This window comes from Homo sapiens, chromosome 10, assembly GCF_000001405.40.
Source record: "Homo sapiens chromosome 10, GRCh38.p14 Primary Assembly".
Lineage (NCBI taxonomy): Eukaryota > Metazoa > Chordata > Mammalia > Primates > Hominidae > Homo > Homo sapiens.
The window spans coordinates 32,292,738-32,310,516 of record NC_000010.11 but is presented as its reverse complement, the minus strand read 5'-3'; the positions used below and the strand labels follow the sequence as shown (position 1 = coordinate 32,310,516).

Below are 17,779 nucleotides of genomic sequence, written 5' to 3'. Positions count from 1 at the left end.
AGGGAAGTTTTTTTCTACAGAACTATTCATACAAGAGGATATAAATGGTAACTAAGGGTATGAAAATCTTCAGCTTCTCTAATAATGAAAGGTATAGACTAGCTGCCATGCATTGGGTACTAGTACATCTTGGGCATGTTAACCACAATCCCACGTGGTAGGTATGTAATACACATTTACAAATAATAAAACTCTTGCTGGAAAAGAATAAATAATTTATCCCAAGTCCCAAAGTCATAGAGTTAGTAAACTGTGGAGCCAACATTCAAATACCAGGGAACTCTTGATTACAAAATCCATGTTCTTTATTTTTTCTTTTTTTGAGACAATATCTCACTCTGTCACCCAGGCTAGAGTGCAGTGGTGCCATCTCAGCTCACTGCAACCTCTGCCTCCTGGGTTCAAGCGATTCTCTTGCCTCAGCCTCCTGAGTAGCTGAAACTACAGGTGTGCACTACGACACCTGGCTAATTTTTGTATTTTTAGTAGAGACGGGGTTTCACCATGTTGGCCAGGTTGGTCTTGAACTCCTGACCTCAAACGATATACCCTCCTTGGCCTCCCAAAGTGCTGGGATTACAGGCATCAGCCACCACACCTGGCCAAAGCCCATGTTCTTAACCACTATACTATATTGCTTGTAAAAATCAGAACTCCTTAGGGGTCATGTTTTATACCTAAAGAATTAATTTTATTATGGTTTATTTGAAAAAAATAAATGAGAAACCTGATAAGGAAAAAGTATGAGTGGGAAATTACCATACTAGATAATAAAATGCAGTATGAGGCTACATTGTTCTTCTTCTTTATTTATTTTTATTTTTTTTGAGACAGGGTGTGGCTATGTTGCCCAGGCTGGTCTCGAACTCCTGGGCTCAAGTGATCCGCCTGCCTTGGCCTCCCAAAGTGCTGGGATTACAGGCGTGAGCCACCGTGCCCAGCCCAAGGCTGTGTTGTTTAAAACACATTAAATACTGGCATAGGAGAGAGTTGAGTGGAATGGGAAAAGAAAAAAAAAAAAAAGCTTGAAAATACTCCCAGTTGCAAGTGAAATGTATTTTAAAATATAGATAATTTTTTAAATTTTTTATTATTATGGGTACATAATAGGTATAGATATTTAGGGAGTACATGTGATGTTTTGATAGGGGCATACAATGTGTAATAATCACATCAGGGTGATGGGGACATACATCACTTCAGCATTTATCATTTCTTTGTCTTAGGAACTTTCCAATTCTACTCTTCTAGTTATTTTAAAATATGTAATAAATTATTGTTGGTTGTCATCATCCTGCTGTGCTATCAAATACTGTTCAAATCTTATTCATTCTATCTCACTATATTTTTCTGCCCATTAACCATCCCCACTTTTTCTACCCCTCCCCAGTACCCTTCTATTGTTTTAATGAACAATTGAGTTCAATTGTTTTAATTTTTAGCTCCCACATAATGAGCGAGAATATGCGAAATTTTTTTTCTGTGCCTGGCTTATTTCACTTAACATAGTGTCCTCCAGTTCCATCCATGTTGTTGCAAATGATAGATGTTTTCATTCTCTTTTATGGCTGAATAATATTCCATTGTGTGTAGTTCCACATTTCCTTTATCCGTTTATCTGTTGATAGACATTTAGGTTGATTCCAAATCTTGGCTATTGTGAAAAGTACTGCAGTAAACATGAGAGTGCAGATACCTCTTTGATATACTGATTTTCATTCTTTCGGGTATATACCTAGCAGTGAGATTGCTGAATCGTATGGTAGTTTTATTTGTTTCGATTTTTGAGGGACTTCCATACTGTTTTCCATAGTGGCTGTACTAATTTACATTCTCACCAACAGTGTGTGAGGATTCCTGTGGGAACATTTTTAATGATTAAGGAGAACAGATTATTTCATCCATGACATTAGGACAGATGGCTCACTATTTGGGGAAAAAAGGTAGATCTTTATCTCTTCTTATAGAAAAAATAAATTACAGATGTAAAAATAAACTATTAAAAGGGGTAAAGACCTGACAAAGGTGAATTTGTTTCATAATCTTGAGGTGGGAGGATGTGGTAATATGTGAAGTATTCATTTTCTGACCAACTAATAGTCTCAGACATTGGTGTATGCTTTTTTTTTTTGAGACTGTTGCTCAGTTACCCAGGCTGGAGTGCAGCGGTGCAGTCTCGGCTCACTGAAACCTCCGCCTCCCAGATTCAAGCGATTCTCCCTGCCTCGGCCTCTCAAGTAGCTGAGATTACAGGCACATGCCATCACACCCAGCTAATTTTTGTATTTTTGTATTTTTAGTAGAGATGGGGTTTCACCATGTTGGCCAGGCTGGTCTCAAACTCCTGGGCTCAAGGGAGTTTAAGCCTCCCAAAAGTGCTGGGATTACAGGCATGAGCCACCACGTCCAGCCGACATTGGCATATTCTGTTCTCAACTACAGCTACCTCTCATTTGGACCAGGTGCCAGATATCAGAACTAGTTAAACAAAATAAACGAATGCTTGAATGCTATGTTCTAAAGGCATCACCAGGAGTAAGACAGATTTGCAACAGTCCAAAAGGTAAAACATCTAACTTATATGTTCACCTACACATAGAAATTAAGGGTTAAGAGATTAAGGGTTGTGAGCTGGGAACAAAAAGCAAACTATGAATCACGTGTCTTGCTTCCGTACTCTCTCCTTGAGTTTGGTGTGTGTGCTAAGAATATTTCTCTTGACATTTGAGGATATCTGAGAGTTCAAGAGCACGCATGTAACTGACATACACTGGGGTTGGCAAAAATGCCCTGTGTCAGTGGGCATTCAGGGCCAGTAAATATGGCAATAGACTACCAAAGTAGAAGATAGAACTTGCTGTTTAGTGACACTGTTTTCCCCACCCCATATACACACATAAAGACTTAGTTTCTACCAGCTCCCAGGAGTCATTAGGCATTCTGAGGGTTTAGAATCAAAAATCAAATTGAGTATGAATAAGAAAAATGCAACACTTTTGAAAATGAGCAAAGAAGAGCAACATTTGAAAGAAAAGAAACTTTATCATTTGTAAAGAAATTAACCTAAAGTAACAAGAAGGGCAAAGAGTTTTAAACTCAAAAGGAATATTGAGAAATAGTTACTTAAGGAATGAGGAATATGTGTTGTTACAACCTTAGATATACCCTTTGAGCACTTCCATTTGTAGTTGTCCTACAGATGCCTTCACAAGTCCACAAAGATATCTTGTACATAGTAATACATGAGTGGTTCTTTGTAGCACTTAGGAGATGGTAGGCATTTAGGTTGTTGCCAGAGTTTTTTCCCTTTCAATTTGTATCTGGTTAAATAAATTTGGTAAGTCCATATAGTGGAATATAATGCAGCTATTGTAAGGAATGTAGTAGAAGTATTGGTATGGAAAGATCTCCAGGTTATATCAAGCAAACCAAAGCTAGGGATAAAGTTCTACATTGTGTATATCTTATATCCATTTATATAGGAATATATATATTCCTTTACATATTTAAATATGTACACATTTGTATATACATTAAAATATTGGGAAGAAAATACACATTCCTAATGGACTACCTATGAAGACTGGAACTTTTCATACTATTAGAATGCTTTTTATCCATGAACTTGTTTGTGTGTGTGTGTGTGTGTGTGTGTGTGTTTGAATTTAATAAGGCATATACCAAAATTCAGTGTTGATAGGCCTGGATGAGACTAATACCTTTATATGGCAGTTGGTAGTATCACAAACTAGGAAAAGCTTTCTGTGTGGTGGCTAAACCAGAACTTATTTTGAGCACCTGTTATATGTCAGGCATTATACTAAACATTTTATTCACATTTATCTTACTTAAATCTCCAACTCTGTACAGTAGATTCTTTTTTTCTCTTACTGTAGGAAATAGATTTAGAAGACTGGTTTCTTGCCGGGAGTCACAAACTGTTTCAGTATCGGAGTTGGGTTCTAATCAGACAGCCTGAGTCCAGAGAATGTGCTTTCTGCCCCTACACATACTCTGCAGCTGCTCAGAAAGGGCTCTGGAAATGTGTATGAAAGGTTATCATTTCAGACAAAAGACCAGGATTTGAGTCTGTCAGTTTCAACTCAAAATGGAGATAACCTCTGCCCTTCTTTGAAGAAACCATATTTAGTTGATTTGTATTCAAATACCTTCTAAATTTATGAAGTATTACATGAATAAGAGATTTGAATCAATAAAATATTTTTAACCATAGCCCACTTTCTTTATATAACAAGTTCAAATGTTTTAACTCCTTCTCCACGTCTCATCCGTAAAATGCAAGCTTTGTTTTTGTCAACTATTTTGAATCTCTTTATATAATTCTGTTTTGGCAATTCCTTTTGCTATATTGAGGAAATATTCAGTGTTTCTGACAAAATTTTTTTTGTTTCTACCTGAACTGATTTTATCACTAGTTGTATCGTGTTAACAACATGCTTTTAAGATCTACTACTAGAATCTCTCTATTTTAAAAACAAATGAGCCAAAAAAACCTTTTTGGCTATATGATCTGTTTACTGCTTTTTAAAAATACATGAACTTACCTGTTTTTTCTTCTTTTTAGGAACATCATCTTCAGCGGGCTATTTCAGCACAGCAGGTGTATGGCGAGAAGAGGGATAATATGGTTATACCGGTCCCAGAGGCAGAAAGTAATATTGCTTACTATGAGTCTATATATCCTGGGGAATTTAAGATGCCAAAGCAGCTCATTCACATACAGCGTAAGTAATGATTCTCTTAATGATTGTATTTTCTATATTTCTCTTATTATGTAACTTGACAGATTTTTATCTCTTCAGGAGCGTTTTTGTTATTTGTTTCATTGACCAGCATCAGCTTAAGAGTTAGTAGAGTCCATTTTCAACTTTTAAAATGATATTTGAGATATCTGACAAGAAAAGATAGCATTTATTATTCTACATTTTTTGTTTCATTCCAGCATACAATCTTATGCTGCTTTAGTCAAGAAGGATAAGAAAAAAAAAAAAAAACTCAGATATAGAAATAGTTTTCTTCCTGTTTAGAATTAATAATATTAATAGTCTTAAAGAACTTCTTGATGTAAGTGAGAGTCAGCAGACTTTTTCTGTACAGGGTCAGATTGTAACTACTGTAGACTCTGTGGGTCATTCTGTCACAACTATTCAGTTCTGCTGTTGCAGTGCAAAATCAGCTAAAGAGAATAGAAAAATGAATGAATGTCGCTGTGTTGTAATAAAACTTTACTGATAAAAACAGATGGCAGGCCAGAATTGGCCCATAGGCCATAGCTTGCCAACCCCAAATCTGTTTTTTCTAGTAGAGTGATGCTAATTTTTAAAATTTAGTGCTCTGATTGGGAACTTATTTCACTTAATAGTGATAGGTTCTTCATAAGCAGTGATCGTTTGATAACTGTGTGACATTTGGTGATGAATAGCTGAGAGCTTTTACTCAATCTCCAATTAATTAACAACTTAAAAACAAATAATTGAAAGGTTAGTAAGGTAAAATTCCTGCAGCTTTCATTGTCTTGTTAATCTTTATGATCAAGAGGTTTTTCTTTTTTCTTTTTTCTTTTTTTTTTTTTTTTTTAAGACGGAGTTTCACTCTGTTGCCCAGGCTAGAGTGCAATGGCGCGATCTCGGCTTACCACAACCTCCACCTCCTGGGTTCAAGGGATTCTCCTGCCTCAGCCTCCCGAGTAGTTGGGATTACAGGCGCATGCCACCACGCCCAGCTAATTTTGTATTTTTAGTAGAGACGGGGTTTCTCCATGTTGGTCAGGCTGGTCTCAAACACCTGTCCTCAGGTGATCCGCCCGCCTCGGCCTCCCAAAGTGCTGGGATTACAGGCATGAGCCACTGTGCCTGGCCTGATCAAGAGGTTTTTCTAGGGGACCATCTAAATTTTTTTTCTTTAGGACAGCGTAAACCTATTTTGTTTTTATTGTTCCTTGCAAGCACATTGAGAAACCAATTTTAACTAGTCTACTTGTGCAGTCACGTTTTGTTACATTTAAGAGACAGACACAGACGTTATAAACAAGTGTGATAGATATTAGAACCTAAAAAGTTGTTTTCCAGAAAATCATGCCAAGGTGGATTTGAAAGCTAAGGATCTGATCTTCCCCATGTATGTTAACTAAAACCACATTCTGTTCTGCTGCCACAAGCTATATTATCTTATAAATGCATGCTTTTAGGTTAAAGCAAGGTTGAGTAAAATAAGATAAAATTATACTAATTTACATTATCATTATGAGAAAAAATTAATACATGTCTTAAAGATGGCTTACTTATTGATGATCAGAATCTATAAAATACATTTGACTGATAACTAGTGAATTATATGTGGTCAGTAAAGTCAAAAGGTACTACTATATTGAAAAAGGAATTGACTCCTGACATTATAATCAAATATTAATAAATGACAGCAGAATTGTAGCTTATTTGGGAGAAAATTTTTTATTGTACAAATTTGAGGTAACTTGTCTTTGGAAAGATGTATACTTTGGAATATTAATAAAGATAATGCTGCTAAATTTGTGTTAGCTGCCCTGTATCTATGGGAGGTTGCAGAGAAATGTACAGAGAAGTCTCCTGCACAGTTCCTCCAGCCTCATCCAGTATTAACTTCATGTACAACTATTGTACAGTATCAAAACCAAGAAATTGAAATTGGTACAATCTAGAGTTTACGCAGATTTCACCAGTTAGATGTGTACCACATATGTGTGTGTGTGTTTGTAGTTGTGTGTAATTTTATCATGTATAGCCCTGCATAACCACCACCACTATCAAGACACTCACCTGCACCATCACCAGCAGATGCCCTCTTCTTACTTCTTTATAACCATATCCCTGCCTCTCCCCATCCCCTGACCATCACTCATCTGTTATCCATCTGTATAATTATGTTCACGGGTGTTACATAAATGGAATCATGCAGTATGTATCCTTTTGAGGTTGGCTTTTTTTCACTCAGTATCACAGGTTCATTCAGTTGTTGGATATATGAATAGTTCGTTCCTTCTTATTGCTGAGCAGTATTCCATGATATGTATACATCACAGTCTGTTTAATCATTCACTCATTGAAGAACATTTGGGTAGTTTCCAGTTTTTGATTATTACAAATAGAGCTGCTATGAATATTCATGTATAAGTTTTTTTGAGAACATGAGTTGTTTGTTGTTGTTTGTTTGTTTATTGAGACAAAGTCTCACACTGTCACCCAGGCTGGAGTGCAGTGGTGCAGTCCCAGCTCACTGCAACCTGCACCTCCTGGTTCAAGCGATTCTCGTGCCTCAGCCTCCCGAGTAGTTGGGATTACAGGTGTGCACCACCACACATGGCTAATTTTGTACTTTTAGTAGAAATAGGGTTTCACCATATTGGCCAGGCTGGTCTCGAATTCCTGACCTCAAGTGATCCACCTGCCTTGGCCTCCCAAAGTGCTAGGATTACAGACATGAGCCACTGCGCCCAGCCAGAACATGAGTTTTTCTTCCTCTGGGGTATATATTCATGAGTGTAGTTGCAGGGTTCATCCATTTTTAGTTTGGAAGGACACTGTTTCCACACTGTTTCCTGGAGTAGATGTACCATTTTATATTATCACCAGGTGTATATTACCCAGTTTCTCCATATCTCTCTAGCACTGGGGGTTGCACTATTTTTTATCCTAGCCTATTCTAATAGGTGTGTAGTAATATCTTATTGTACTTTTCATTTACATTTTCCTAAATGGCTAAAATGAAATATCTTTTCATGTGTTTATTTGCCAGTCTGTACATCCTCTTTGGTGAAATGATCGTGCATGTCTTTTGCGCCGCTCCCCCACCCTCCTTTTTTTTTTTTTTTGAGATGGAGTCTCACTCTGTTGCCCAGACTGGAGTGCAGTGGTACAGTCTCGGCTCACAGCAACCTCCGCTTCCTAGATTGAAGCAATTCTTCTGCTTCAGCCTCCCGAGTAGCTGGGACTACTGGCGCGTGCCACCATGCCCAGCTAATTTTTGTTTTGTTTTAGTAGAGATGGGGTCTCCCCAAGTTGGCCAGGCTGGTCTCAAACTCCTGACCTGAGGTGATCCACCCGCCTCGGCCTCCCAAAGTGCTGGGATGATAGGCATGAGCCACCATGCCTGGCCTCTTTTGCTTACTTTCTATGGGATGGGTGTCTTAATGTTGAGTTTGAGGTGTTTTTAAAAAGATAATATTCTAGACACAGTGTCTTTGTCAGATATATGACTTGGAAAAAAATTTTTTTTTTTTTGAGACGGAGTCTTGCTCTGTCACCCAGGCTGGAGTGCAGTGCAGTGATCTCAGCTCACTGCAAGCTCAGCCTCCCGAGTAGCTGGGACCACAGGCGCATGCCACCAGGCCTGGCTAATTTTTTGTATTTTTAGTAGAGATGGGGTTTCACCATGTTAGCTAGGACGGTCTCGATCTCCTGACCTCGTGATCCGCCCGCCTTGGCCTCCCAAAGTGCTGGGATTACAGGCGTGAGCCACCACCTCCAGCCGCGAAATTTTTCTACCATTTCTTAATGTCTTTTCATCTTTTTTTTTTAATAGACTTTCATGGGACCAAAGTTGTTAATTTTGATGAGATCCAGTTTCTCAATTTTCCTCGTAATGGATCCTGCTTTTGGTGTCAAGTCTAAGGGCTCTTTGCCTTTCCTATGTTCTCTTCTAAAAGTTTTGCCATTTTACATTTAAGTCTGTGGTCCATTTTAAGTTAATTTTTGAATAGAGCAAGAGGTTTAGATCAAAGCTCATTTTTTTCCCTCTTGATATCCAGTTGTTCCAGCATCATTTGTTTAAAAAGCTTTCCTTCCTCTATTGAATTGCTTTTGCTTCCTGGTCAAAAATTAACTGGACATTGTTGTGTGGATCTGTTTGTAGATTCTCAATTCTATTCAATTGATTTCTGTGTTTATCCCAAGACAATATCGCTGTCTTGAGTATTGCAACTCTATAGTAATTTTTAACATCAGGGAGAATGATTCCTCCTGTATTATCTTTCTTTTTCAAGATCGTTTTGATATTTTAAGGTCTTTCCTTTACATATAAACTTTAGAATAAACTTGTCTATGTCTACAGAGAAACTTGCTGATATTTTTGTGGGAATTGCCTTAAGTCTATAGGTCAATTTAGAGAGAACTGACATCTTTTCTATGTGAATCTTCCAGGTCATGAACACAATGTTTGACACTTGAAGTATTCAGGTCTTTTTTTATCTCTTTCATTGACACTTTATAATTTTCATTATACAGATCCTGCACATGTTTTATTAGATTTATACCTGGCTCTCCGCTTAATACTCGAAGCCTTTTTTAAAAGGGTAGTCAATGTGTATATTTTTATATGCATTTGCGTGTATGAGTGGGTGGGCATGTAGGTACGTAGGTAGGTAGGCAGGCAGATAGATAGATAGATAGATAGATAGATAGATAGATAGATAGATAGATAGATATAAATGTGCTTCTAATTCTTTCCTCTGTAAGGCCAAGAAGCAAAAATAAGCAAACATAGCACCTATTCTCTAATTTATTCCCCACTAAACGGCCCAGGAAGCCTTGGAGAAATGGCTGATTACAGGGCTGAGGCAGGGTAGGTACAAGATGGCCCTGTAACATCTTGTTATACTGGATATTAAGCTTCCAAAAAAAATGATGGTGGTGTGTCGTGAAGACACAGGGGTTTCCGCTGGCTAATTCTGGGACAGTTCGCACAACAATAAAAGTACAATAATTATAAACCATTGAAAAAGTAAAAATCGGCGGGACGCGGTGGCTCACACTTGTAATCCCAGTACTTTGGGAGGCCGAGGCAGGCAGATCACCTGGGGTCGGGAGTTCGAGACCAGCCTGGCCAACATGGTGAAACCCTATCTCTACTAAAAATACAAAAATTAGCCAGGCATGGTGGTGTGCATCTGTAATCCCAGCTACTCGGGAGGCTGAGGCAGGAGAATTGCTTGAACATGGGAGGCAGAGATTGCAGTGAGCCGAGATCGCGCCACTACACTCTAGCCTGGGTGACAGAGCAAGACTCTGTCTCAGGAAAAAAAAAAAAAAGAGTTGAATTGATACACTATAGAAAAAATGCAGGAGCGGGGGCGGGAGGGAAAGCATTAGGAGATATGCCTAATGTAAATGACGAGTTAATGGGTGCAGCACACCAACATGGCACATGTATACATATGTAACAAACCTGCATGTTGTGCACATGTACCCTAGAACTTAAAGTATAATAAAAAAAAATTTAAAAAAAATGCTAGAGTTAGAAAATCATTTTTGTGGCCCGGCACGGTGGCTCATGCCTGTAATCCCAGCACTTTGGGAGGCTGAGGCAGGCAAATTCACAAGGTCAGGAGCTCGAGACCATCCTAGCTAACACAGTGAAACTCTGTCTCTACTAAAAATACAAAAAATTAGCCGGGCGTGGTGGCAGGTGCCTGTAGTCCCAGCTACTCAGGAGGTGAGGCAGGAGATGGCATGAACCTGGGAGGAAGAGCTTGCAGTGAGCTGAGATCGCACCACTGCACTCCATCTTGGGCAACAGAGCGAGCTTCCGTCTCAAAATAAAAAAAAAAACTCATTTTTGCAATTATCATAAATCAGGGTTGGATCATACTAGAATCATCAGTGTGTGCTCAATAAGAGAGGAAATTTTGATGAGGAGATTTGCATGGCTTTAAGCTCTCTCCACAAACTACTCATTAATTACAAAGAAGAAGAAAAAATTGGGCAACATCTTGACTGGTGATCAAAATTGTCATTACTTATGAGGAACAGATGAATATTGTGTGCCTCTAGATGTGGATATTCTGAGAAGGACTTAAAAAGTTTACTTTGCAATAACCTAGCCAAGAATGTGTAATCTAATCACAATGGAGAAAAAAATCAGAAAAACACAGAGTGAGGAATGTGCTAATAATAATAATAATGATGATGATGATGATGATGATGGAGGCTTGGGGAGGGGGACATACCCAAAAAACATCAATGTCTTAAAGACAATGGTGGCCAGGCACGGGGACTCACGCCTGTAATCCCAGCACTTTGGGAGGCCAAGGTGGGCGGGCCACCTGAAGTCAGGAGTTCAAGACCAGCCCGGCCAACATGGTAAAATCCCATCTCTACTAAAAATACAAAAATTAGCCTGGCATGGTGGCAAGCGCCTGTAATCCCAGCTACTCAGGAGGCTGAGGCAGGAGAATTGCTTGAACTCAGGAGGCAGAGGTTGCAGTGAACTGAGATCACGCCACTGCACTCCAGTCTGGGTGACAGCGTGAGATTCCATCTCAAAAAAACAAAACAAAACAAAAAAGCCATTATGAATATAATGTACCCTCCTATGGCTTCGAAAATGAAAAAATAAAGAGTGAGCCTGCATAATGAAAGTGCACACAAGCACGAGCACATGTGCGTATGATAAAACAAAATAAAAATTTAACAATAGCTGAATCTGGGTAAAGAGTATGCAGGTGTTCCTTGTACTGTTTTTATTTCAACAACTTATATAAGTTTTGACTTCTAAGTAAAGTTTTTTTAACGGATACTTTTTTCCTAAAGTAGAACCTACATTTTCAATACCTCTCAGAACAGATATCCTGTCTTTGTGCTCTGATTCTGAAAGATTATTTTCTCCTTCCCACTGCCTGCCTCAACATCCCCTGCAGCATATTCTGCTGGTACTGCTTTCTGACAGATAAAATCTATAACAGCAACCAGAGAACTTTATGTACGAAAGATCTTATATCTGAGATTTCAAATCTAATATTCACCATTTTCGCTCCCTAAGTACATTCTGGAAGTGACCCCAAGCTCTAGCTTTTAAGCAAAGGAAACTGAAGATTTCCATGATCTGGCTAGTCAGCGATATCTTTATCTTAGAGCTGAGGCAAGGATGTCAAATACCTATCACCCCATAGTAAATAACATCTTCACAACAGTCTTTTCTGCTGCTCAGAATTGATATCAAGAGCTTTGCAAGTAGATATTATTAATCATGCAGTTAGTGCTCGTGTTAAAACTGGTGTGACAATTTTTCTTCAACCTTGGGTAGTGTTCCTACCTTCCTTCCTTTCAATCAGGGTGTATATTCTGTTCCTAATCCACATTGTGTGCTGTTTCATGGATCCAGATATCCTTTCACTATTTGTTTCCTGTATTTTTAAAACGCTGTTTGAAGTTATGGACATACTCACCGAATGCACACTTAGTTTGAGTCATAAATGGCACTTGTTACGTAGACACTTACATTCCATCTCTATTACTAAACTTTAATATCTTTGTCTTAGATCTAAGGCAAAGATGTCAAATACTTCCCACCCCATAGTAAATATCTATTACTAGACTTTAAATACCACGGTTTGTACCAGACTGGATTTCCTTTAAAAATAATCTAACTGGCCAGGCGCGGTGGCTCACGCCTGTAATCCCAGCCCTTTGGGAGGCCGAGGTGGGCAGATCACGAGGTCAGGAGATCGAGACCATCCTGGCTAACACGGTGAAACCCCATCTCCACTAAAAATACAAAAAATTAGCTGGGTGTGGTGGCGGGCGCCTGTAGTCCCAGCTACTCGGGAGGCCGAGGCAGGAGAATGGTGTTAATCCGGGAGGCGGAGCTTGCAGTGAGCCGAGATCACGCCACTGCACTCCAGCCTGGGCGACAGAGCGAGACTCTGTCTCAAAATAATAATAATAATAATAATCTATTCAATGTATAAGTCCTGTTGTATTTTACTTAGGCTTACTTTATGTCTACATGGCAGTTATGGTATACTTTTTCCTACATCTGTGTATCACACTAATACTGTATTCTGTTTACCTGTATGCATCTCTGGGTTTATTCCTATCAGAATATTTTTAAAGGAGCCAGCTTACACAGTGTAGTTCTCGTTATTATTTAAGAATTATAGGCCAGTTGCGATGACTCATGCTTGTAATCCCAGCACTTTGGGAGGCCAAGGCGGGCAGATCACCTGAGGTCTGGAGTTGGAGACCAACCTGGTCAACATGGTGAAACCCCATCTCTACTAAAAAATACAAAAATTTGCCGGGCGTGGTGGCAGACATGTGTAATCCCAGCTACTCAGGAGGCTGAGTGAGGCAGGAATATCGCTTGAACCCGAGAGGCGGAGGTTGCAGTGAGCTAAGATCACAGCATTGCACTCCAGCCTGGGCAACAAGAGCGAAACTCCATCTAAAAAAAAAAAAAAAAAGAATTATTAACCTGCTAGGTCTCAATTTAATTGATAGAACTTAATTAGAAAAGATGACCTATTTGCCTGTTTTTCTTTAGACCCTTTTTTTTACTTTGAACACATCCAATAACATGACCCAGAAAATCTGAAGATACTCTTAATTCTAGGAACATGATGAATATTTTACATTTTTATTAGCTTGGGTTGAGGTGTTTATTGGAAGCTGCAGATTCAGCTACAGCTAAATTACATAATAAGGTTGTTGGGTGTGGGTTTTTTGGTCAAATGAAATTCCAAAGTGGGTTTTTACATGTTAGCTTTTCTCTAGGGTTTTGGTATTCTATATATGAACAAGATTGGGTACTCTTCCTATTTAATAATTTTTTTTTTTTTTGAGATGGAGTCTTGCTCTGTCGCCCAGGCTAGATTGCAGTGGCGCGATCTCAGCTCACTGCAACCTCCGCCTCCCGGGTTCAAGCAATTCTCCTGCCTCAACCTCCCGAGTAGCTGGGATTACAGGCACCCGCCACCACGCCCAGCTAAATTTTGTAGTTTTAGTAGAGATAGGGTTTCACCGTGTTGGCCAGGCTGGTCTGGAACTCCTGACCTCATGATCCACCTGCCTTGGCCTCCCAAAGTGCTGGATTACAGGCGTGAGCCACTACGCCTGGCCCCTGTTTAAGATTTTATATGAGTTTGCACTGAATAAAAGAAAAGCCTCTTGCAGAGGCAAAAGGGCTCAGACACTCAGGTCCTTGTTAATGTCAGAGGGAAAGACCCTGAGCTCCTTGATTCATATGATAGAAATCATCCTTTTCAGTCTTGATGCAGCCCCTGATATGTTGGGTGTGACTTGCCATTGATAATATAATATCTACCAGAAGCTATGGCAAGTGTATTTTGATGCGAAGCAAGGTGATCCTTGGCAAGCTCATTTTGTTTTAATGAATAATTAGGCTTTGTGATTGTGGTTTGACATGTGATACGATCTAAAGAAGAGGATGCCAAACTGTAGTGTATAAATGAGATCCTAAAAATGAAATATAACCTTAAGAAGCAGAACATTGGCCGGGCGCGGTGGCTCACGACTGTAATCCCAGAACTTCGGGAGGCCGGGGCGGGTGGATCATGAGTTCAGGAGTTCAAGACCAGCCAGCCTGGCCAAGATGGTGAAACCCCATCTCTACTACAAAAAAAAAAACTACGAAAATTAGCCAGGCGTGGTGGCAGGTGCCTGTAATCCCAGCTCGTTGGAAGGCTGAGGCAGGAGAATCGCTTGAACCCGGGCGGCAGAGGTTGCAGTAAGCCGAGATCGCCCCACTGCACTCCAGCCTGGGTGACAGAGAGAGACTCTGTCTCAGGAAAAAAAAAAAAAAGAACATTGAGAACATTGCTAGTTGGTCCCTATCAATTTGGCTTTCTGGATTATTTTCATCAGTGCTCTTTAATAGAACTTTCTATGATGATGGAAATGTTCTGTAATCTGTGCTAATACAACACTAGCCACATATAGCTATTGTAGTACTTGAAATGTGGCGATTGTGACTGAGGAACTGAATTTTAAATTTTATTTAATTAATATAAATTCAGTTAGCCGCACATGGCTAGTGGTTACCATATTAGACAACATAGACCTGCATTATTTTGGTTAGGAACAAAATATATCAAGTGTTTTTAATCTAACAGTTTTAATCAACTTGAGGATCTCTAAAAGCTGTTTACGTAATAATGACAAAATGAGATGATGGAAAATCATTGGAGGGCCCATGATTGCAGGTACTGTGAGTACAGAGATGTTAACATCTAGAAATTTTTATAGTCTGAATACTTACTTATTTTAATAGGAATGTTATAGAAGTGATATAGGTCAAAATAAAAAATAAAACAGTGAAATAATACATTCAACTGTACCAATGTTTTTTTACTTCCCCAGGCCAGACACTGTGTTAAGCTTTAAGCAGAGATGGCAGTATTTGGCAGCTAAATAGTGCCCTTTGTACCCATCACAGACTTTAATGTCTGACTGGGTTTGGAGGTTATTTCCCCCCACTTTAATAGACGTAACATTACAGAGGTGGCATACAAGGTGAAACCTGTTACCCTCCACTTAGCGGTACAGAAGTAAAGAAGGCATGCCTCTCCCTAAAGAGATCACACACATTCTAATAGGGAGGCATGCTTAACAAGCAGATTATAAAGTATGTGAAGTGGGTTCTTAGCCACTAAAAAAGATGAAAGTGGTTAGGAACCACTTCTTGGGTGGGGAAAAATCAAAAAAGGATTCTAGATGAGTGATACCAGGCTGGGTGCTAAAAAGAATAAATAGGCATTTGCCTCCTTGGTGGGCAAGCAGAAAAACAGGGATTTTTGTAAAGGCCTGCAGTCATGAAATAGCATACTGCATGAAATCAATGAAATCTGATGTTACTAGATCATAAAGAACTGATAACACTGGAGAGAATAGGAAAAAAGGGCCTTATACCATTCTAAAGATGTGGACTGTAATGTTAGTAGAAGGAATTAAGTAAGGGAAAGATGTGAGACAAATTTTTATATTAAAGCTATTTAATATTTTGCTTATATTCATATCAACCTAGCTTAATTTTGGTAAGTAATTAAACAACATTTGATAGTAGCAGCGGTTCTTGCAGATCTAAGATCCTCCCATTTCCATCAGCATGACAGTGTTCGCGTAGAGAAACAAACTTCCTAGGCAGGAACATACTCACCGAGTGACAGCTGCTGAAAACTCAAAATCTGAAATGCTCCGCAGTTCGAAATTTTTGAGCACCAATGTGATTCCACGTGTGGAAAATTATACACCTGCCCTCATGTGATGATGGGTCACAGTCAAAACTTCACGCACAAAATTATTTAAAATATTACATAAAATCACCATCAGGCTATGCATATAAAGTATATGTGAAAAAAATGAATTTTGTGTTTAGACTTGGGTCCCACCCTCAAGAAATCTCATTATACGTATTCAAATATTCCAAAATCCAAAACACTTCTGGTCCCAAGCATTTTGGGTGAGGGATTCTCAACCTGTACTGTTATTGGTAGTGGCTTCTAACACTTCAACTTTAAAGACCACTCCCTTAGCTTTTGGTAAAGTAGTTGAATAATCTACAAAATAGGACTTAAATATTATAGAAAAAAATCTTAAAGGCCTTCTCCTTTTATATTATAAAAATTGCCTATGTGATGATTTTTGAGCTATAAAAATGGCACTTCACATGGTTCAACCAAATAAGTTTTAATGATCGCTTTATGTTCTTAATAGGCTTCTAGTGTATTTGCTTTTAGGAGTGGTTGGAGGGTGTCGCATCCATTGTCTTTTATTACTTATATGTATATTCATAGTAAAGATAATCTCCTTTCTTTAACTTTAAATGTGTAAGACAAATCTAAGCTTAGATTGTTTGCGACTCTGAAAACAAAATCCAAGAATTCTTTCTTATTTCTTTAGAAAGTCTAGGTCTTGTTTTTATGCAGACATCTGTGGAGTTTTTGTCGGTGAATTCACACAGTAAATGATTGCATATGGTTCCTTCTGTCAGCTTTTAGTTTGGATGCTGAACAGCCTGATTATGATTTGGATTCTGAAGATGAAGTATTTGTGAATAAACTGAAAAAGAAAATGGACATCTGCCCATTGCAATTTGAGGAGATGATTGACCGCCTAGAAAAAGGCAGTGGTCAGCAGGTACAACTTCATTTGTATATAACAAGTATATACATATTCTATGTAAAGAACTGTATTGTATGGAAAGAGTGTGAGATTGCAGGTTGGGGGTAATCAGTCAGGCTTTAGAGTTAAAAAGTATGAATTCAAATCTCATCTCTGCTTATCAGTAACCTGTGTAATCTTGAGCAATATGTTTAAATTTTTCTGTGCCTTGGTTGCCCTGGGATTGTCGTAAAGATGAAATAATGTATATAAAGCACCCTAGTTCAGTGACTGACAGGCATAATGTACTCCTCAAGTTTCCCATTTGTTAATAATGTTGTAATATTGATTATTGTCCTTTAAATTTAGAAGTAAATACTTATGAACCTTGTATGTGTATTGTATGAAAATGACATAATGGTTTTACATTTAGCCAGTCAGTCTGCAGGAAGCCAAACTACTGCTAAAAGAAGATGATGAACTAATTAGAGAAGTTTATGAATATTGGATTAAAAAGAGAAAAAACTGTCGAGGGCCATCTCTTATTCCATCAGTAAAACAAGAGAAGCGAGATGGTTCCAGCACAAATGATCCTTATGTGGCTTTTAGAAGGCGTACTGAAAAAATGCAGACTCGAAAAGTAAGTGAATTTGAAGAATTTTTTTGATAATTATATAATAAAAATTATTTATAGTTATGACTGTCTCAATACTGTGGTTTAATTTATATTCAAATATGACTTTCCAATTATAAGAAAAATACTTAAATTGAACTTAAGATTTATTATGCAGCTATTAATGTTATATTTTAATGTTAATCCATTTAAAAATCAATACAAAATTGATTTCCTGGTGATCTGTGCTCCCTTTTATTGTCTTTAAATTCTAATT

The 17,779-nt window shown here is 38.4% G+C and overlaps 1 protein-coding gene across 13 annotated transcripts in view; it reads left to right on the top strand.

The window, feature by feature from the left end:
- The window catches only part of EPC1 (enhancer of polycomb 1), a 111,019-nt gene that overhangs the window by 68,253 nt on the left and 24,987 nt on the right, over positions 1 to 17,779 (top strand). For 11 of the 13 annotated variants that reach the window (NR_168508.1, NR_168510.1, XR_001747214.2 and 8 more), the window contains exons 2-4: positions 4,586 to 4,745; positions 16,780 to 16,925; positions 17,323 to 17,529. Coding sequence is in view for 8 of the 13 variants with exons in the window: in NM_001282391.3 (NP_001269320.1) it covers positions 4,586 to 4,745; positions 16,780 to 16,925; positions 17,323 to 17,529 (513 nt within the window). In the remaining 5 variants the exon portion in view is untranslated. The remainder of the gene's footprint in view (positions 1 to 4,585; positions 4,746 to 16,779; positions 16,926 to 17,322; positions 17,530 to 17,779) is intronic. The other 2 variants (NR_168511.1, NM_001272019.4) reach the window with 2 other exon arrangements.